The sequence below is a fragment of the Homo sapiens genome, chromosome 7, assembly GCF_000001405.40.
Source record: "Homo sapiens chromosome 7, GRCh38.p14 Primary Assembly".
Classification (NCBI taxonomy): Eukaryota; Metazoa; Chordata; class Mammalia; order Primates; family Hominidae; genus Homo; species Homo sapiens.
The window spans coordinates 83,414,935-83,437,760 of record NC_000007.14 but is presented as its reverse complement, the minus strand read 5'-3'; the positions used below and the strand labels follow the sequence as shown (position 1 = coordinate 83,437,760).

Here is a 22,826-nt window from a genome sequence, read left to right as displayed (position 1 = left end):
CACTTCTCCAAGGAGCACTTGTTCCTTTTAATGGGAAATGTTATTTGGGACTACAGTCAGAAGACTAAGAATATAACTGCTTCTTAGTTTGTTTTAATTTCCATTTCATATATTTATGGCTGAGATAGTATCTTTTTACATTTTAAGAGTCATTTGAGTTTCCTTCTCTCTGGACTGTTCTTTTCCTTTGTTCATTTTAAAAATTCAACTTTCACTGATTTTTATGTTTAAAATAAGAAAGAAAGCCTTTGTTTTTTGAGTGAAAAAAAGTTTATGTTATTCATGTAGGATTTTTTTCTTTAAAATTTTAAGTCATAAAATTTATCAATTTTTTAATGTCTTCTGGATTTTGTGTCTTATTTTATTATAAATGGCATTTCCCACAAAGGTTTTATACAAACTTTTAATGTTTTTTAATTACTTTAATTGTCCTATATCTTAAGTTTAGATTGTTGATCAATCTGAAATTTTAGTACAAGGTTGTAGGACATGAAGTGATAATCAAACTTTATTATTATTATTATTTTTTGGATGACAATCCAGTTATCCAAACAACATTTATGGAAGAATCTATCATTTATCCATAGTGCTTTGAAATACTACTGATATGGTTTGGCTGTCTCCTGACCCAAATCTCATCTTGAATTCCACCAGGACCCAGTGGGAGGTAATTGAATTATGGGAGCAGGCCTTTTCCATGCTGTTCTCATGATAGTAAGTCTCACGAGATCTGACGGTTATTATAAGGGTGAGTTTTCCTGCACAAGCTCTCTTTGCTTGCTGCCATCCATGTAAGACATAACTTGCTCCTCCTTGCCTTCTGCTATGATTGTGAGGCTTCCTCAGCCATGTTGCAATTAAACCTCTTTATTTTGTAAATTGCCCAGTCTCAGGTATGTCTTCATCAGCAGCATAAAAACGGACTAATACAACCACCCATATAGATATACATTCTTATACCATATTGGCTTCTTCCAATATTGAACAAGGTTTTAAAATTAACTGTAGAATAACAACAAAAAGAAAATAATGCTGAGTAAAATTAGCATTATGCACCATTGGGTTTGATATAAAATATCTGCTTGCAAACCCTTGGATTTTTAAGACATCAGTTTTCTTTGTATACTTGCTTATATCATGTATTTAAATTTTCTAGTTCCTGAAGTTTCTCTGTTGACTTTTACTTGCATTCCTTCCTCTGATTCTCATAATAGTCACAGAAGATAGCAGTAACAGAAACATAAATATATATATATGTATATGTGTGTATATATATGTATGTATATATATTTAACAAGTAACGAAATTGAGGTTGAAAGGCTATAAAATCAAACCAGAAACTTCATCTTTCTTATCTGCCACTTGAGTTAACTCTCTTTATAAAAAATCTTGATTCTTATTCTCATTCTTATTTCTATTCTTCTCCTCTTCTTATTCTTCCTCCCCCACATTTTCTTCTTACTAGTTTATTAGATCAGACAACATTTTTATTTTCTTATTATGCCTGACCTTTTAGATTTATTTGTGTTGTATATCTTTAACACACGTTTTATATGTATGCGTGTGTGTGTACACACACACACATATGTTAGAGAACTACTATAAAACATAATGCCTAACTTTTGAATAGTAACAGGTATCATGAGAAAAAATATTTCAGCTGAAAGTTTCACATTACCAAATATAGTATTGATATTATGGTCCCCACATAAACAATTAAATCATATGATATAAACACATCATGAAATAATTTAACATCAATGTAATCTATACAAAGAAAGGCTCCAACATGAGCTCAACTTGTTGCTACTTTAAAGTTGAATATTGACTTTATGATAGACACAGAAAATGACATGTTACATATATAGAGGGAAAGAAAAACATTTAATAATTTTGAAAAAATATTAGGATACAAATTAAAATGTACATGAAGATGAAGTTAAGTATATTAACCATGGAATTTTACATCACGAAAGACCAATGATATAAATAATATTGCTAACTAACTATAGACGAAGATGTTACATTCACTTAGAGTATCTGATATTTTTGTTAGAATATACAGGTGAGGTTTGGTGTATAAATATTGAAGAATAAATTAAAAATTAAATAGTTTCTGTCTTTCTTTTTTCTTTTCTTTCTTTCTTTATTTATTTTATTTTTTTTGGACGGAGGTTCGCTCTGTCTCCCACGCTGGAGTGCAGTGGCATGATCTCGTCTCACTGCAGCCTCTGCCTGCCGGGTTCCAGCAATTCTCCTGCCTCGGCCTCCTGGGCAGCTGGGATTACAGGCTTGTGCCACCATGCCCAGCTAGTTTTTGTATTTTTTTAGTAAAGACAGGATTTCACCATGTTGGCCAGGCTGGTCTCGAACTCCTGACCTCAGGTGATCTGCCTGCCTTGGCCTCCCAAAGTGCCAGGATTACAGGCGTGAGCCACTGTGCCAGGCCAAAAATTCAATAATTTCTTTATTAAGTAAGCAACAGTTTATGGCAAGTTAACTCAAACATGTTTTGGATAATAAATGCCTACAGGTCAATTAGGATATTATTGTGCAAAATCATGTATTAACTGAGTCACACAGATGAACAAAAGTGGCATCCTCAATGAGAAAAAGAGTAGAACTTTTTCAAGGTCTAACATTTAGTTTGTTAAATGGACACAATATGGACTAAAAGGACACTTATTTTTAGATAAAGATTTTTTGTAAGAGAATGCTATTAGAATTACATCCATAAGAAATACAGTTGGCCGGGCGCGGTGGCTCACGCCTGTAATCCCAGCACTTTGGGAGGCCGAGGCGGGCGGATCACGAGGTCAGGAGATCGAGACCATCCCGGCTAAAACGGTGAAACCCCGTCTCTACTAAAAATACAAAAAATTAGCCGGGCGTAGTGGCGGGCGCCTGTAGTCCCAGCTACTTGGGAGGCTGAGGCAGGAGAATGGCGTGAACCCGGGAGGCGGAGCTTGCAGTGAGCCGAGATCCCGCCACTGCACTCCAGCCTGGGCGACAGAGCGAGACTCCGTCTCAAAAAAAAAAAAAAAAAAAAAAGAAATACAGTTGAGGATAAATAAATCTATCCTCAAATTAGCCAATTCTGCCAAAGTGTGGCACAAAATGGTAATTGGCATCAGGAAGAACAAAAGTAAATTTGGTTTATTGTGCACATTTATCTTGAAAGTATATAGAACACAGTTTAATTTTTTAGAGCAAGAAGCATGTTTGTTATTATTAAAAATAAAGTCAGCTAAGACGCTAGTCAGTTTTGCTGTGTTAATGTATTGATAAGTTGAAAGCATATTGGATGAATTCTAATTTAATAAAGTTTGCTTTGAGATTGCATACTGCTTATTAATGCATTTAAATCTTCTATTTTATGTTGCATTTGAAAATGGCAGTCCCCAGAGCAAAAGAATTTAACCCAAAATACTATCAATATTATTTTATAATGTCTTCTTTGTAAGAGAAAGATTTTTGATCAGTTTAATAAAGTTGTTTTCCAGGGAGCCAATTTGCAGGTTTTTATTAAGTAAGAGCAATATATGAAACAATCTGGAATTGCTGATTCCAGATTATTTAGGTGTTCATTTGACGGAAAGTTTCTCAAATGTGTTGTTAGAATTTAAAATTTATATATATGTAGTAGGTTGGTGCAAACATAACTTGCAGGTTTTGCCATGAAAAGTAATGGTAAAACTACAGTTATTTAGCACCAACCTAATATATGAAAAATATAGTTTCTAATGAATTTCTTCATAAATAATTATTTTAAAGAAAATTATTAAGTATAGAAATACAAAATCTATGAAATGTTCTTAAATTAAATTTTATTCTTTCCCAAAATAATGAGGTTTGATTGGGATCATCGTATATTTTATCAGTGAAAGGTGTTTAACTGTTCTTATGTCTAACTTTGATAAGCTATAGAGCTATAAAAACTTTTGAGCTACACCCTCAAATAAAATGATACAACACCTTATTTGCTCGGTATGTATCGTCTTTGTCTTGTATCCTCATTTACAATTAACTATTCACATTTAACACCTCTAGAAATTTTGTAAATCTATACTTCAAAATTTTAGATTTTGAAAAATCTGAAAGCTTTTTTGTAGAACACAGAATGTACTAATATTTCAACAAGTATTTAGAGATATATTTTTATGGAATAGATATTTTTGTGAGTGTTCAGAATGTGAAAGCTTCTCCAATTATTAATTTAAAAGATGCTTCTAAACTAATTGGGAAGCATTGTTAAGGTTGTTGTAGTTTGACTTGACTGTAGAAACTTTAGTTAGGAGCTTGTCATAAATAAAGATAAGAATTTCGGTTAGTAAATCTGGGATATGAGCAAGAGTCAATGTTGTAAACAGTCGGTCCAGGAGTGACTTTTATAGGTGATTCACTGGGAACATGCTATGAAATATAAACCTCAATAAGACACTCAGTTCCCTTTGTAACTATTAGTTTGAAACAACCTCCAAATATATATATTACATTTACATTTTAACGTTCTTTCTTTTCCAAAAATGATAATCATTTTTTTAAATCACTTACTTTGAACAAGACATTTTTAACACAGATCACATCATATAATCTTTGCAACAAATGTGTGAGTTTGGTACTAGTGCAAAGCCCCTTTACAGAGTTGTCTTTCAAGTGAAAAAATTAATGTAGTTAAAATTATTTGTTTAAAAATTCAATATATGTACAATGCAAAAATTGCAAAAGTCCAAACACTCAGAAAGATATCAAATGCATAGCAAAAGTTTTCAAAAGCTACTGTCCTGGACCCCAGCACCAAACCCTGCTGAAATATATTATTGTTTTCTTGGGTGATTTGAAAAATTACAATAAGATTTATGCATTCAATATATGACTGTACTATAAATTATTTTTTCTGTATTGATCAATGTTTATGTTGGATATCTTTTTTTCTGTTCCACACATGTGGCTGGTAAAGACTTATGCATTTATCTTGGTTTAGAATAGATTCTAATCAGGAGAATTTCTTGATAAAATGATCAAGTTCTCTTTGAAATTAATAGGCACCCCTAAATTAATCTTCAAAATCATGGCACTAATTAATGCTCTGAAAAAGCATATATGATTGCCTAACTTTCGATACCTATGTCAATTTTGTGTATCTACCTATATATCTCTATATATGTGTTTTCATTTCAATGACTCTTACCAGTAAAATGACAATGCATTGTTTCATTTAGGTGATAATTCTCTTAAGACCTTTGACAGTTATTGCTAAATTATTTTCCACAGGTTATACCATTTCACACTTTTATTAGCAAAGTGTGAGAACATCTCTGTTAACATTCTTTCACTCCCAGACGTTATTATAACTTTTTATTTGTCTTATTTTGATAGTAAATGCTTCATTTGACTTATTAGTAATTATGTTAATAGTAATAACTACCTCTAAGTAATATTTCTTCTATTTAAACCATGCTCTATTGCCACACAACAAAAAAAAAAACCCTCAAATGCAATTGTGTAAAACTATTTTTTAATAGTAATGGATTCTGTGGGTCAGGGATTTATTCAGAGCCTGGTAGAGGTGGCTTGTTTCTCATCCACAATTTTTAGGGCTTCAGCTGAGAATATTCAAATGGCTGCAGACTGGAATCGTCTGGAGACATCTTCACTTAGATGTCTGGAAATTGTGCTGTGATGATTCAAAGGCTGCACTGCACTGAGACTTTGAATTAGAAAACCTACACATGGCCCCTCCAAGTGCTTTGAGCTTCTTAACATGGTAGCTGGATTCCAAGAGGGAGCATTCCAAAAAAAAAAAAAAAAGTCACCAATTAATTGGGGAGTGAATAGGTGGCACCTGCACAGAAGAGGACATTGGATAAAAGACCTTGTTGTTATAGCCAATGCTGGAAAATACAATCAGCCACATTAATTTCTTATATGTTATTGAGCTAGAACATGTTCTCGCAAATTTGCCACCTATATGGTCTTTATTATAGATAGTTATTAACACCAATTGCCAAAAACGTCATTTGGAAATTACCCATTAATACCACTTGCTTGGGCTGGGTACAATGACTCATACTCATGCTTGTAACTCCAGCATTTTGGGAGGCTGAGGTGGGTGGATCACTTGAGGTCAGGAGTTTGAGACCAGCCAGGCCAACATGGCAAAATCTCGTCTCTACTGCAAGTACAAAAACTAGCCGGGCATGGTGGCATGTGCCTGTAATCCTAGTGACGAGAGGCTGAGGCAGGAAAATGGCTTGAACCTGGGAGGGGGAGGTTGTAGTAAGCTGAGATTGTGCCACCTTTCTAGAACAAATATGATAACCCTTAATCATATTATATTATTTTTTTAACTTACCCGTTAGTGTTTCCAACTCAAATTAAGATATATTTTTTAATTTATATTTATTTTTTTCTAATAAAAATTTAACTTTCCAAGAAATTTAACCCTACATTAATTAATTTTTACATTTCAGATACAGAGAGACATTCCTTCTCAAAACTTTATTTTATTTCTGCCATTGAAATTATTTATCTACCAAATATAATTCAACCATTAAAATGTTGTTATTAGCTATTAAAATATAGTTAATATATTGAAGAAAAAAATATCCTACTATATTATATATTAATAGCAGAAACCTGTTCACTTGGGCTTTTTTTTTTTTTCTTTTTTTTCTTTTTTTTGGCAATGCAGTGAAAATTTATTTCAGAGTTCCAATAGACAACCATTAATAATCAATGTTTTCATGCAATGACTATGTGGCCACTTCCTTTTCTATTTTGTTCAACTCAGTTATTTTGTGTAATGAACTTTGCCCATTTGTCTTTGAAATTTCTTCCTTGGCCATAGTAACTTTTGGTTTCGTATAACATTTTAATTTTCAAAGATTTCACATCAATTTTTTCTTTCATTTTTATTTTACTTTAAGTCCTGGGATACATGAGCAGAACGTGCAGGTTTGCTACATAGGTATACATGTGCCATGGTGGTTTGCTTCACCTAATAGTCCGTCATCTATGTTTTAAGCTCCACATCCATTAGGTATTTGTCCTAATGCTCTCCCTCCCATCTCCCCCAGCCCCTGACAGGCCCCGGTGTGTGATGTTCCCCTCCCTGTGTCCATGTGTTCTCATTGTTCAACTCCCACTTACGAGTGAGAACATGTGGTGTTTGGTTTTCTGTTCCTGTCTTAGGTTGCTAAGGGCAATGGTTTCCAGCTTCATACATGTCCCTGCAAATGACATGAACTCATTATTTTTTATGGCTGCATAGTATTCCGTGGTATTCATCTGGGCTTTTCTTTTTTTTTTAACGTCACCCAGGCTGGAGTGCAGTGGCGGGATTTTGGCTCACTGTAACCTCTGTCTCCTGGGTTCAAGTCATTCTCATGCCTCAGCCTCCTGAGTAGCTGGCATTACAGGTGTGCACCACTATGCCCAGCTAATTTTTGTGTTTTAAGTAGAGACAGGTTTTCACCATGTTGACTAGGCTGGTCCTGAACTCCTGGCCTCAAGTGATCCACCCGCCTCGGCTTCCCAAAGTGCTGGGATTACAAGCATGAGCCACCGTACCCGGCCCATTTTGGCTTTTCTATGTTAAATTGACAATTAGAGTCTATTTTCTCAATTTTCATGGGGTTTAAAAAAGACTAGCATGCATCATACTTCCTATATTCAATATTGATTGAATACCTGAAACACAGTAAGCTTGGAACATAAGCTTCTTAAGTGTTTGTTAAATTATCCATGAGTGCATAATCACAATACAATGTAAATAATGCTACAAGAGATATACAGCATCATCCATGGGAGAAATTTTGATTGGAGATTTCTTAGAGAATATCAGTGAAGTCATTTTTTTTTTCCAGCAAAGTCATTTTTAAACAGCATTTTCTTTTGGATAAGTAGGAGTTAATGTTGTAGGAAAACAAACGAATAAGCAAAAAACCGAATGGAATTCCCCTTCCCAATAATCAAACAGCTATGAGTATTATCATGCATGCAACTTTAAAGAAAGTCACTTGTGCAGGAGTGTGGATTGGATGAGGGAGAGGGGAGGGGAAACTATGAGGGACAAAGCCTGAGGGCAAACAGTGAAGGGCCTGAGCTGCCCATTCTTGAGGTTAGACTTCCTTCAAAAACAAAAGCACTGCAGGGTTTTTGAAAAGGAGGCTGGCATGATCATATTTGAAAAGTTGGTGAGGATGACATAGGCAGCAAATGATGTTTTTCCAGTAAAAGCAGGCTTCAGAAAAACATAAGGTTTGAAGGATATTTGCTTCAAATACTCTAGGACACCGTGGCATACCTAGCCAGTAGGCAGAGCTGTCAATGTGGAATTAAAGAGTTTGAGAGGGTGAGTGTGGGAGTTGTAATATTGGCATAAAGTTAGGTCACTTAGGGTGAGGAAGAGAATGGAATCCTGACGTAATAATTAGAGGATACACAAGGGAAGTGAAAACAGAATTTTGCCTTCAAATATAGCTTCAAGCAAATATTTATTAAAAGTTTTAGGAATAAGACAATTGAGTTTACTTACATGTATTATATTTATGTGCTGAATTATTAAAAAATGCTAATAACATCTGCCAGCTATTCCAATGGTATTAAAGGACTTACAAACGTTTGAAAATGCAATTTGATAAAATAAGATTTTTTTGAAAAAAATCTTAATATATATTTTTGGGCCTTGATTATGCATTAAGTACCTTATAAATGACATTCAACCACACCTAACAACGCAAACACATATACTCCTCTCCAACTACAATAAGTAAAGTGGGTAAAACTGCAAATGAATATGGAATTGTTAGTTAGAAGACACTGAGACTTGCCAAGCCTCACCCTGCCTCTGATTCCTCACCTCTAAAAAGAAAATAATATTTGTGGAAAATATTATTGACCCTGTTTACTTCACAGGTTTACCGTGAGGATGAAACAAGATAAATACATGCAAAAGTATTTCCTAAATTTTAATGTATGATACAAATATATTACTTTTTTAGAGAAAAAAATGTTAAAACGCAATTAAAATGCAAAACTATTAGCCTTACAGTCAAAATATTTACTTGCTATTTTACTCCTGTTTTGTATTTTTTCTGCTTGTTTATTTAGTCTTTGGGAAAGGTTTCAAATATCCTTTAATAAATATTTTTATTGCTTGGCAGGAGAAACAAAAAAGATATGGTAGAGTGAATCACATTCAGAATTAATTTGTTATACACATTATCATGTAGCTATTATTTAAAGAATTAAACTGCATATTATGTTTATTTATTTGAGACATTGTGTAACAATACTGCACTTTCACCTATTTTCCATTGTTGGCAGAAATATATGTAATGAACATTGTGTATTTTACTATTTTTCCTAATCACTAGAAATAGCTAATAAAATAAATGATTGTTTGTTTTGTCCTGTAGTACTTATAATATTCTAGTTGACTTCTAGCATATTTCAGAATATCCCTATGGCACTGAAGACAAGCAAAAGAGTATTAGTTCATGAAGCTGATTTACAAATGGGAAACTCATTTTATTGAGTTGGCATCACATGTGGCACCTGCTGTGCAATGACTCACACCTGTCGAAAAGAGCTTACCACAGACATTCTGGGTTCTGAGGGCATCCCTCAAGGCCCAAAGAGGAAAACTCCCCTGGAGAGATCTACCATTTATATTTTAGAGACACTTTTTTCTGACAGACACATGTATCTGCCCACATTAGTGGTTACTTTCAAGCACAAGAGAAGCCATTGAAAAATTTCTCCATATCACATTGAAACAGAAAATGCAGCCCACATGTTAATGCTGGGAATGCCTTTTAAATTTAAAACACACTACTCAGGCAGAAATTCCAGCTGTTAAAACAGAGATAATAGAAAGCCAGTGTAAGTCGTGACCAACATTCTCAATAGGGTTAAACACCAACATTACACATTGCTTGAACCATAAAGGCGATTGCTTTGGGGTCACTGAAAATGTCATCATGGCTCAAGTTTTCTGGTTGATTTGGTTGCTGAATTCTACTTTATGGAAGAGAATTTTATCACTGGCTTTTTAGTATTTTATTGGGTTGTGCACTACATGAAACACTGCGTTTAAGACCACAATGAACTCTCAAAATAACGTGAGAAGTTTCCTTCTGGAATATATAGCTAATATTGAAGTTAGCTTGATCTATGCAAAGCAAATAAATAAAGGTTTGAAAACTGCCTGCTTTCCCTCATAATATCAATACTATGTAGTCTATGGTAAATTTTCTTCCTTTTTTCTGCTTTAAAAAATTTCCACATCTCAGTTGCATAAAGTTGCAAAAATATTGTACTGAGACATGAGGAATTAAGATAAATTGGATCAATATATCTTCCTGTCATGTGTAGCTTCACAAGGGAAAGAAAGCCTCAGCTCTAAAACCATGGAACAAAAGATCAATGAAATTATTGAAAACTACCATCGAGTCAGTAATTTGATAAAAATGAAAAGCTCAGGTTTTGCTTCTATTCAGTATTGAAGAAAAAGAAAGAGAAAGGAAGGAAAGAAAGAAAGAAAAAAGAAAAAAAGAAGGAAAGGAAGGAAGGAAGAAAGAAAAGTCATATGGGAAAAGGGAATCCTTAGTTAGCAAATTATTGTACCTCCTTGTTGCATCTTCACGTTACCTTCAAATTACATGCTGTCACTAACAAGGTCTTTGGGGATAAAATAAACATTTTTATATTTCAATCTTTGATTTCTTTTTTAATAAGTGTCATGTCACACTATGTTATGTTAAACAGAAACTTTAATATATTAATCCTAGCAAGAGTCCATCATAAATCATAAAAGTATAGATTAATACAATAATGTATTTATTGGGTGTCTGAAGAAATTAAGAATGTGTCTAGAACAACTAGATTAGTTGTTCTACTAATCTAATCAGTTTTACTAAAGCCAATGGCAATCAAAATATGGAAAAAAATAGAAGCATGATTTTACTATCTAGGCAGTCCCAAGGAAGCATGTACAACGTAGCATAATAATTTTTACAAATGCTCTAGAGTAAACCTACCTATCTGCAACAACGTTTTTGTATGTTTTTAATAATTTCAGCTTTTGTTTTAGAGTCGGGAGTACATGTGCAGGTTTGTTACATGTGTATATGTACTGGGGTTTTGGGTCTTGATTAATCCCATCGCCAGGTACTGAGAATAGTCCCCAAAGGTTAGTTTTTCAACCCTTGCCTCCCTCACTCCCTCTAGTGATTCTCAATGTCTATTGTTCTATAAGTGAGAACATGTGACATTTGGTTTCCTGTTCTTACATTAATTTGCTTAGGATAATGGCCTCCAGCTGCATTAATGTTTCTGCTAAGGAATTATTTTATTTTTATGACTGTGTGGTATTCCATGGTGTATATGTATCACATTTTCTTTATCCAATCCACTGTTGATGGGCACCTATGTTGATTCCATGTCTTTGCTATGGTGAATAATGCTGCAATGAACATACAAATGCATGTGTCTTATTGGTAGAATGATTTATTTTCCTTTGGGCATATACCTAGTAACGGGATTGCTGGGTTGAATGATAATTCTGATTTAAGTTTTTTGAGAAATCTCTAAACTGATTTCTACAGTGGCTGAACTAATTTAAACAAATTCCCACTGGCAGTGTATGTGTTCCCTTTTCTCTGCAACCTCACCAGCACCTATTATTTATTGACTTTTTAATAATAGCCATTCTGACTGGTGTGAGATGGTATCTCATTGTGGTTTTGATTTGCATTTCTCTGATGATTAGTGATGTGGAGCTTTTTTTCATATGGTTGTTGGCTACTTGTATGTATGAAAGAATTTGTTCATGTCTTTCTCCCACTTTTTAATGGGGTTGTTTTTTGCTTTTGAATTAAGTTCCTTATAGATTCTGGATATTAAACCTTTGTTGGATGCATAGATTGTGAATATTTTCTCCCATTCTGCAGGTTGTCCATACTCTGTTGATAGTTGCTCTTGCTGTGCAGAAACTATTTTATTTAGGTCCGACTTGTTTAGGTCCCAGAAAGAGATATTCAGAATGATATCCAGGCAAAAGAAGTTCAGAATGACTGGCACACAGGCTATAAAAGCAGCATTTTAGAGATAAAAATGTGAATAATTACCTAAGTACATATAAAATCCCTTATATAAAATTATAGGGACTTAATAACTTATTCTGGAGGCTATGGGTAGTCAATGAATGATTTTTAACCAGAGGATGAGAAAAAATTCACAATTCAGAAAGGACTCTTTGCAGCAGAGTACAGAATTGATGGCTGGGACTCAGAGACTGTTCAGGAGGCTGGTGTTAAAATCAAGGTGATAAGTGGTAAAGAAGCAAAATAAGTAAGTGCCAGAAAGCAGGTAACAGTGTCAAATATTGAAGAAAGGAACACTAAAAATAGGAGAGAAAAGTATATTTGGGGTAATTTTATGAAGAAAATAGAACAATAGTTTGGGGCTTTGTTTATTGCTGTGTTTCTAGTTCCAGGCTTAGTTTGTGGCATACAGAAAACATTTTTTTTTTCAAGTATTGAATAGTATAATGTTAACATTCAAGAAAGTAAAACAGACACCTCTGCAATAGCTCATTAACAACTGGTAACCCATAGAGGTCAAAGTTCCAGAGCTTTAAAAAAGTACTGATACAGTTGAAGACCCCTCCACTATACCTGGATGGAGCACTGATCCGTATTACCAATGACAGTTACCCCCAAAATGCAAGCAGTCACATCCACCCTCCTTCAAGGGATAGATCCACTATACTTGTCATGTAGATCAGCTACATTGTCACTGGAGACTGGGATCCAGCTACCCTCCCACACATGGTAGAGGCTGACAGCACCTCCTGAGTAGGCATCTCTGTAGGTCAGGGCCCCATTCCTCCATCTTCAAAGCAAGCATTTCTGGATCTAGTTTTTCTCGCACTGCATCATCCCGGTTGGCTTTCTGCTTTTATCAAAACATCTTATCTCTTAAAGACCCATGTGATTATATTGGATCTACCTGGATAAGTCAGGGTAGTTTCCCCTCCTCAAGGTCTTTCACTTGATCACATGTGTAAAGTCCCTTTTGCCATGTAAGGTAACATATTCACAGGTTCCAGGATTATGACAATGACATCTTTGAGGCTCCGTTATTATGCCTGTTGTGGAAACAATTATTCAATTAAGGTAAAGAGATTTTGGAAGCTTCTTGCAAATTGAGTTTGTTGTTAGGGATTTAATTACCAAGAAAGAAGGATTTTAGAAGACATGATGGAAAGATGTGAGTAGGCCGGAGATGTAGTTTTAGTATTCATATTATCTCTAATTAAAATGACCTTTCCAAATGGAGCTCTCTGTGGTATGTAATGACATCATACTGTAGTAATTTAAATGTTAATCTAACAATCAAGTTTCAGGACAGGGTCGAAGAATACCTGTGCAAAGTGATTAGACAGAGGAATTATAGTGCTTTCATGTGTTCAAAGCACCTCTTCATTATTTTGTTACAAATATTATAGTCTTCAAAATACACATTACAATATTCTTCAAACTTGAGAAGTATCCCAAACTACAATCTAATCTGACGTTGTCTACCCTTTTTGTGTTATTTGACTCCTGGGGCATTATTAACCATCTATTGTTATGCACTGATAAAATGAATGTATCCTCCAAAGATGTGGACCTTTCTTCTCCTTTTTACATAAAGAGAATGGTACTTTTCTACTGCAGTGATGTTCCAATAGCTTACATTATTAAAAAAATTAATGGGCTAATAAATTATAATCTGCAAAAAACATACATTTTATTTTTTGTATTTTTAGTTTATTTTTCCACAGGTTATTGGAGTACAGGTGGTATTTGGTTACATGAGTAAGTTATTAGTGGTGATCTGTGAGATTTTGATGCACCCATCACCTGAGCAGTATACACTGTACCCTATTTTTAAAATCGAGGCTGGGTGCAGTGGCTCATGCCTGTAATCCCAGCACTTTGGGAGGCCAAGGCAGGGGGATCACGAGGTCAGGAGATCGGGACCATCCTGGCTAACATGGTGAAACTCTGTCTCTACTAAAAGTACAAAAAAAAAAAAAATTAGCCGGGCGTGGTGGTGGGCGTCTGTAGTCCCAGCTACTCGGGAGGCTGAGGCAGGAGAATGGCATGAACCCGGGAGGCAGAGCTTGCAGTGAGCCGAGATGGTGCCACTGCACTCCAGCCTGGGCGACAGAGCGAGACTCTGTCTCAAAAAAAAAAAAAAAAATTCTTCATAGTGATGCAGAAAGCAAACCAGAAGAGTTTAATTTAACCTGTTTATTATTTTAAAATGATTACTTGTTGACTTAGTTTTAGCCATTAATCAAATAAATGTGAGATAGGTATTTGAAGTCTTCTGGAGAAAAGTGAGAAAGGAGGGTTTAGTCAAGGTACATCTGAGTTTTGACCTTAGACATACATACATCTCTGAGAATGCATGCACATTCAATATTCAAGGCTCAAGTATGCTCATTGTCAAACTTGAGATTTTTATAAAAGAATATATCCTTTCACAGACTAAGGTAGATTTACGTATTGCACAGATTTGTGTCTCCTACATAACTAAAAATTTCAGGATGATTCTGGGTGCCATTTGATTGTTTTCAAAATGTTAGCATGGCAGGTTTCTTGGTGCATATTGTTTCTTGTCGACTCAATCAACTTCTTCTGAGAGTTGAACACACTGGTATGTAAGATACTTAATACCACAGTCACAGGCTAAAATTCACTAGTCAAATATAGCCTCAAGAACCTATATTATGATTTCTAGTCATGAAAACCTGTAACTTTTCTATGAAATTGTGACTGCATTTTATTCATCTATGCCTGAGGTTCTACAAACTCTGGGTTTCTCTTGATCTTAAAATTCTTTCAGTTTTCATTTTCTATTTGCTTCACGCATTTGACAGTTTAAACGAATGTATTAAAATTATTTGAATAAATACGCAATGTACTTGTATTGCTCTTGCAGTTTCAATTTTACTATATAAGGTGTCTAATTATACCCATTAGATAAAACAACCTCATCAGTCATTAGACATCAAAAACTGAATTAAGCTACAGAAAACGTTGATTTTTGAAAGCAGCCTAGTATCACTGTCAGCTTTCCATGACGCTGATGTTTGACTATAGTAAAACAAATATAATATGTATATCCCTGATCTACTATCTATATTGTATAAAGTGGCAATGACTAAAGGGGCAAACAAGTATTATATTCATATACTTGGTCATTTCCTCCTCCATGAAATGATGTGGGTCTGTTTTGCAAATTTTGGTGAAACTTCTTCAGTGAAAGTGTTAGCTGGGCAGATCTATAATTTTTTCTCATTTGGACAAACTTATTCTCATGTCATTGCAAACTGCCATCTGCAGGAAGTAAACACAAAACATCTCTCTACTGCCATTCATGCTTTCTTCAAATTGGTGTATAGTAGCTATAAAGGTAAAACTTTTTTGGCTTAGAATATAAGTTTAGCCACACCTTTGGGTCAGGAGGCCACATTTGTTCTATAGGCTATGTTTTATTATCATTATTTTTAATTTGTTTATTTTTGAGACAGTTTCACTCTTGTTGCCCAGTCTGGAGTGCAATGGCACGATCTCAGCTCACCATAACCTCCACCTCCCAGGTTCAAGCGATTCTCCTGTCTCAGCCTCCCAAGTAGCTGGGATTACAGGCATGCGCCACAATGCCTGGCTAATTTTGTATTTTTAGTAGAGACTGGATTTCTTCATTTTGGTCAGGCTGGTCTCGAACTCCCAACCTCAGGTGATGTGCCTTCCTCGGCCTCCCAAAGTGCTGGGATTACAGGCGTGAGCCACCGTGCCCGGCACTAGGCTATGTTTTAAATCCAAGGATAAGACTGGATGGTAGTAGTGGTTGGGTGAACTCAGCATTTACTGAAAAGTTTTCAAAACGGCAGGATCAGGATGTGATTTTAGGATATCACAGAGAAAGAGAAAAGGGTGCTAAATAAGAATAGCAAGACAAAGACAGAACAGATAATGTGGGTAAATCAGATGACTAGCAAAGTTAAGATCAAGTTTGAGAGAAGTGCCCTCAACTCTCAGAGGTTACTCTGGACTTTCAAGATTGTTTATAGGTTTGTGGTTCACAGATGAGCAGGGTTGTACATAGTTGCCAAATTGAGCAATATCATGATGTTCTATTTTAAATTAGTTTTTTATACAAGTTTTTCAATATTGATTTTTATTGTCACTTTTCTAAACTACTTTTTTTACCCACACCACTTGTAGTATACTTAATGGAGATTAATTATACAAAACAACCTTTAATGAGAATTTTGAAACCTGGAAACATTAAGGGATAAGTTCTATGGTTATATGCTTGAAATAGGAGCCAATAAAGTAGTTTTTCATGAAAATATTAATTTTCATTATCTGTGTGAAGCCTTATATTAAAATTGAAATATTGTACATAATATGGCATTTGTTGATAAATATTTACAGTACTTATGCATTATTCTATGTTATTAAACATTGAATGTTTATACAAATACTATGTGATGAAGAATAAAATTGAAAATAAATATTCCAAATTATTGAGAGTACATTTTGTTATTCTTTTCCAAACTATTAAAAAAATCAGTAATACTTTTTGAGTTAAGTTCCTTATACACTCTGGATATTAAACCTTTGTTGGATGATAGCTGGCAAATATTTTCTCACATTCTGTAAGTTGTCTGTTTACTCTGTTGATAGTTCCTGCTGTGCAGAAGCTCTTTAATTAGGTCCCACTTGTCAGTTTTTGTTTTTGTTGCAATTGCTTTTGAGGACTAAGTCAAAAACTCTTTGCTAAGGCTAATATCAAGAAGAGTATATCCTAGGTTTTCTTCTAGGATTCTTATAGTTAGAGGTCTTATATTTAAATCTTTAATCCATATTGAGTTAATTTTTGTATATGGCAAAAGTAGGAGCCCCATTTCATTCTTCTGCGTATGGCTAGCCAGCAATCCCAGTGCCAATTATTGAATAGGGAGTCCTTTCCTCATTGCTTATTTTTGTCAACTTTGTCAAAGATCAGATGGCTGTAGATATGCAGCTTTATTTCTGGATTTTCTATTTCATTCCATTGGTCTATGTGTCTGCTCTTGTACCAATACCAAGCTGTTATACTTACTGTAGTCTTGTACTATAGTTTGAAGTTACATAATGTGATGCCTCCAGTTTTTCTTTGTTTTTGTTGTTGTTGTTGTTTGCTTAGCATTACTTTGGCTATTCAGGCTCTTTTTTGGTTTCTTATGAATTTTAGAATAGTTTTCTTCTAATTCTGTGAAAAATGATGTTGATAGTTTGATAGGGATAGCAATGAATCTGTAGATTGCTTTGGGCAGTATGGCCATTTTAACCATATTGATACTTCCAGTCCATCTGAATGGAATGTGTTTCCATTTGTTTGTATCATCTATATGATTTTCTGCAGCAGTATCTCCTTATAGAGGCCTTTCACCTTGTAGAGATTTTTCACCTCCTTGCTTAGATGTATTTGTAGATATTCTGGTTTTATTGTGTGTGGGTATTTTAAATTAGATTGTGTTCTTAATTTGGCTCTCAGCTTGAATGCTATATGTGTATAGAAATTTTGCTGATTTTTAGACATTGATTTTGTATCTTGAAACTTTATTGAAATCATCTATCTGTTCTAGGAGACTTTCAGCAGTCTTTAGAATTTTCTAGGTATAGAATCAATCAGTGAAGAGAGATCGTTTGACTTCTTTTTCTATTTTGATGCCTGATTGCTGTTGCTAAGACTTCCAGTGCTATGTGGAATAGGAGTGGTGAGAGTAAGCATCCTTGTCTTTTTCTTGTTCTTAAGGGGAATGCTTCCAGCTTGTGTCCATTTAGTATGATGTTTGTGAGTTTGTCATATACGACTTATTATTTTGACAAATGTTCCTTCAATGCCTAGTTTGTTGAGAGTTTTAATCATGATAACCCCATTAAAGAGTGGACGAAGGATATAAACAGGTACTTCTAAAAAGAAGACATACAGGAAGCCAAAAAACATTAAAAAATGCTCCATATCACTAATCATCATAGAAATGAAAATCAAAACCACAATGAGGTATCATCTCACACCAGTCAGGAAGGCTATTATAATAAGTCAAAAATAACAGATGTCAGAGAGGCTGTGGAGAAAAGGGAAAGCTTATACACTCTTAGAAGGAGTATACATTAGTTCAGCCATTGTGGAAAGAAGTTTAGAGATTTCTCAAATAACTTAAAACAGAATTACCATTTGACCCTGCAATCCCAATTACTGGGTAAATTTCCAAAGGAAAATGAATCATTCTACCAAAAAGACAATGTGTGTTTGAAATATTTTGAGCTCCTCTACTAACTCACTCATATGTTCATTGCAGAATTATTCACAATAGCAAAGACATAAATTCAACCTAAGTGCTCATTAATGCTAGACTGGATAAAGAAAATGTGGTATTTATACACAGTGGAATACTACACAGCCATAAAAAAGAATGAAATCATGTCCATTTCAGCAAAATTGATGTAGGTAGAGGTCATTATCCTAAGTGAATTAAGGCAGGAATAGCAAACAAAATGCTGCATGTTCTCACTTATAAGTGAGAGCTAAATATTAGGTACATGCAGACATAAAGATGGCAATAATAGAGACTGGAGACCACTGGAGGGGGATGAGACGTAGGGGGGCAGGGGCTGACAAAATGCCTGTTGGACACTATGCTCACTACCTGGCTAATGGGATAATTTATACCCCAAACTTCAGCATCACACAATAAGGCCATATAACAAACCTGCATATGTACCCCTTATATCAAAAATAAAAATCTAATTTATAAAAAAATCAACAACAGCATTCTTGATATGCTTGATAAAAGCCCACTATCATTTTTAACATTGAACCTCCTTTTCATTAACCTTTTTCCAGCAAGTTTCAATTCCTTTCAAATATTTCATTGACACATCTCAGAATAAATAATACAGTCTCATAAAATGATTTAAAAAGTGCTATTTTCTTTCATCACCTGCATACTTTTTCAGAGGAGTGAGAGAACTCTTATGGGTCTGTAAAACACATGTGCTTATTTATAAAACCCAGTTTGTCTCTAAATAAATTGATGCTACTGGTGCTCTATTTAGAATACATGCTTTATAAATAATCGAAGTTTCATATGTTTTACCTAAGGAATTAAATGATTATTAGAGGAGGCATATTCATAATGATTTTTCTGGTTTTCTTTCAAGGATCCTCTGTTTCACCTGGAATCACCCAGATCTGAGAGAGGAAGGGGCAGATGTCCTTTTGACCCCAGCTCCTCCTTCATCTCCACTTTAATTGGTAATTGTCATTGCCACAGACATCAGGTGGTAGTCATAAGGATTTTAAAACATATATTTCAACTTCAGTTACATTCTTTCAGCATTTCTTTACATACTATGCCTTGTCATATCTATTTTCTGATGCTCGAAGCAATGATATTAAATTTCAAGCCATGTTAACCTGAGCAATTTGACTCTAAAATAAGTGCAGATGCTATAAAGTGTGTGTGTCTCACTCTGAGAAAACAAATTGTCGTTTAATATCTCATGTATTTGGTGTCATGTGATGCTTATAAAATGCAATTATATGAAGACTTTATAAAAATTTTGCCAGAGAAATGAAACTATTTTAATATATGTGTTAATTCTTCATGTTTCAATTATTTTGTGACTTTAGAGAACTTTTAATATTCTTTATGGTATCTTTCTCTGTTATTAGTAGAATTCAGCAGAAACTCATCTCTTTTGAGAACTTAAATTTATTTATCTAAATTTCTGTTAATCTAGAATGTAAACTATAGAAGTTGATCCGCTCAACCTATCACTAAATGTACATACGGAAATAATGACATGAGTTGATAAAGTTGGATCTGGAGTTCAATTCGATTTAATTTAATTAGACAAAGTACCAAACAATCTCACTTAAGACACAACTAAGTAATATTTTCCTGCAATTTGGGGTTAAAAATTGCAAACTTGGCAAACTATTTCAGCACTGTGACAGTAAAGACTGATGAATGAGCTCCTAAGCCTTCAATTAAAAAGAGCAATCCCCAACACTGACATAGGTACTAATGGAAGTGATTTTCTTCCCTCAGCGTTGAGAGATTCTGATGCATGTATGGTGCAGATGTGCAAGGTTGCATTATTACATTTATAATGTTTAGAGTTATATGCTAATATTAGGTCATCTTCTTTGCAGAAAATGAGTACAGAATAAAATGTAGAGACTTCACATTCTAAATAAACGATTAAAACTTAAAACTCTCTCCTGATGATTAAACCATATTATACTTGATTTAGAGTTGATACAGATGCTACTGCATATTCTTGAGAATCTGTGTTCCCTAAACATATTCAAGTCAGTTTATTTTGATGGGTCTTGCATTCTATTCCCTACATCTGGTTCTCAGGTGTAAAAAAGTAAAGCTTTTTAAAACCTATGTATTTATAGAGCAAACACCTCATGTTAACTCTAATTAATGGGAAAAGTTTGATTTACTTCAGCTTCATAATTGGACAAGGCTATAAAATGAGAATTATATAGTAATTAAGTTCTTCAGGGGCTTGAATAAAGAGGTACAATATTTGAGAAAAATAAATATTAAAGAGAAAATATTAATTTGAAATATTTTGAGTTTCTCTACCAATTCTCTCTCTCTCTCTCTCTCCCTGTGTGTGTGTGTGTGTGTGTGTGTGTGTGTATAAACAGAGTATTAAAAAAAGGAAGACTTTAAATATGAGAAAAGGGTTGCCTAAGTCAGGTTAGACTTGGTAAAATCAAAACCTTAGGAATAACACTTTTGGGGGATGCCAGGTCCATAAATGCAAGAAATTCCAATGCAACTGACAGAATATACATTAAAATTTATGTATCTCATAGTCTCACACCATCTTTTTCTGAAGTTGTTAGTGAATTTTTCTTCATAAAGATTTTAATATGTTTGAAAAAAAGAGACTTTCTTATCTTTCTTGTGCCATATAGTATCTTGCAAAGACTAAGTCTCCTATAAATACTAAATGTAATTCTTACTGAGGTTCCTAAACAAATGCAAAATTAATTTTGGAATATTATTCATAAGAATCATAAAAAGGGAATTGGAAATTAAAAATTACACAGTATATGCTGCTTCTATAGTGAAATCCTGAGAATATTAGAAGGCAAATTATTTTTTAACATTTCATTTAAAGAGTTAATAATAATTTCTATGACCACCTTGCCACTCACTACTCAGCCTCCCTAGGAGTTTGTTTCTGCATGAAGCCAAGAATTTAAAAGTTAAATTTCTAAGAGGGGAAATATTACTGGAGGGACATTTCTAAGTGAGTTTCATTGAACCTCCAAATCAAATTACACTATGCTGAAATCTGAAGTGCTTGCCATCTGGGTGGCTGTTTCGCTTATTTCGAAGAGAAATCAAATCAAAGGAGCCCTCCAAGCTAAACACAAAAGTTATAGAATAATCCCTCCAAAGAGAAGAAATAAAAATATAATTCTTCACATTTATCCACTCACTTTCATCCCAAAGTACCTTGGAGAGATCATTCACTCACTGTGGAAATGCAGCAGCCACTGGATGGAAACCTGATAACCTATGTGAGCCAGAAACTCTTTAAAAGAGAGGAAGTGAAAATAATTCACCCAATTGAAAAAGCAGCAGGAATGTGGGCTGGAAAAATGAAGCTACCTGAGTTGGAATTTGGCAAGCTCGGTAGAACTTACTCTGACTGTGAAAGAATGTATTAATGGGTATTTTGTGACCACACATGTTCTCTGCTGATGGGTTAAGACAAGCCTCCAGCAAAAAGATGACTATCGTTAGATTATTGCTACTTCTTAGTTTCATGGTTAATTATATGTCACACAATGTTTAATGTCTGTTCACATGAAGACAAATTTAATGATAAAACACTGAAACTGGTAGCATACTCATAAAGCTGCTTGACCTAAAAAAAAATGGTGCTTGCAAATTAGAGAATTTTCTATGTAATTTCCTAATTTTAGATACAATTTTAATTCAGTTAACTTAAATTCAGTTGACTTAAGTTCATACGAAGAAGAGGTTAATAAAAAATTGAATAAATATTAAAGCTTATTTGATAGATGAAAGACAAGTTATAAAGCACATTTTTATTTCATTTATAATCTAACTTAGAAATGAAAACTTGATAGCTTGTAATAATTCTATGCGACAAAGGATTTAAGGAGTAAAAACAAGCTTCTAACTGAACTATGTCATATATATTCAGAAACTAATCAAAATGAAATCATATATTAAATAGGCTTGCTCTTCCAATGCGTCTTTGTAGTAACACAATTTATATTGGTAGCATATCAGCTCATATCTCAGGTGCCATATTTCTGCATGTTTGGCCAAGTTTTCCTCCAGTGTGATTACTCCTACTGTATTTGAAGTGGTTTTAAGTAACTGTCTGAGGAAGACAAGGCATTACAACTTGATTTTAAAAGCAGCTTGTTGAAACAATAAATTTTTCAGTATAATGAATTGCTGCATTGCGTATCCATGCCTTTCAAATCATCCAAATATACTTAGTAATTATCTTGCTACTAAATTATTAAGTTTGGTAAGTGGCCAAATAAAAATCCAGGAAACAGTGTTCTTTATGTCATGTGTCATTTTGGCCAAGAAGCAAATATTTTTGCTGACTCTTTTTATCAGTTATATTTGACATACTATTGCAATATTCTAATTAAGTTGATAATATCTTCAGTAACGTTACAGTCCCCCATAG

At 34.1% G+C, this 22,826-nt stretch overlaps 1 protein-coding gene across 2 annotated transcripts in view; it reads left to right on the top strand.

Moving 5' to 3' along the window:
* Window positions 1-22,826, top strand: part of SEMA3E (semaphorin 3E) — a 285,902-nt gene that overhangs the window by 211,379 nt on the left and 51,697 nt on the right. For both annotated transcript variants that reach the window (NM_012431.3, NM_001178129.2), the window contains exon 5: window positions 19,278-19,371. In NM_012431.3, the coding sequence (NP_036563.1) occupies window positions 19,278-19,371 (94 nt within the window). The remainder of the gene's footprint in view (window positions 1-19,277; window positions 19,372-22,826) is intronic.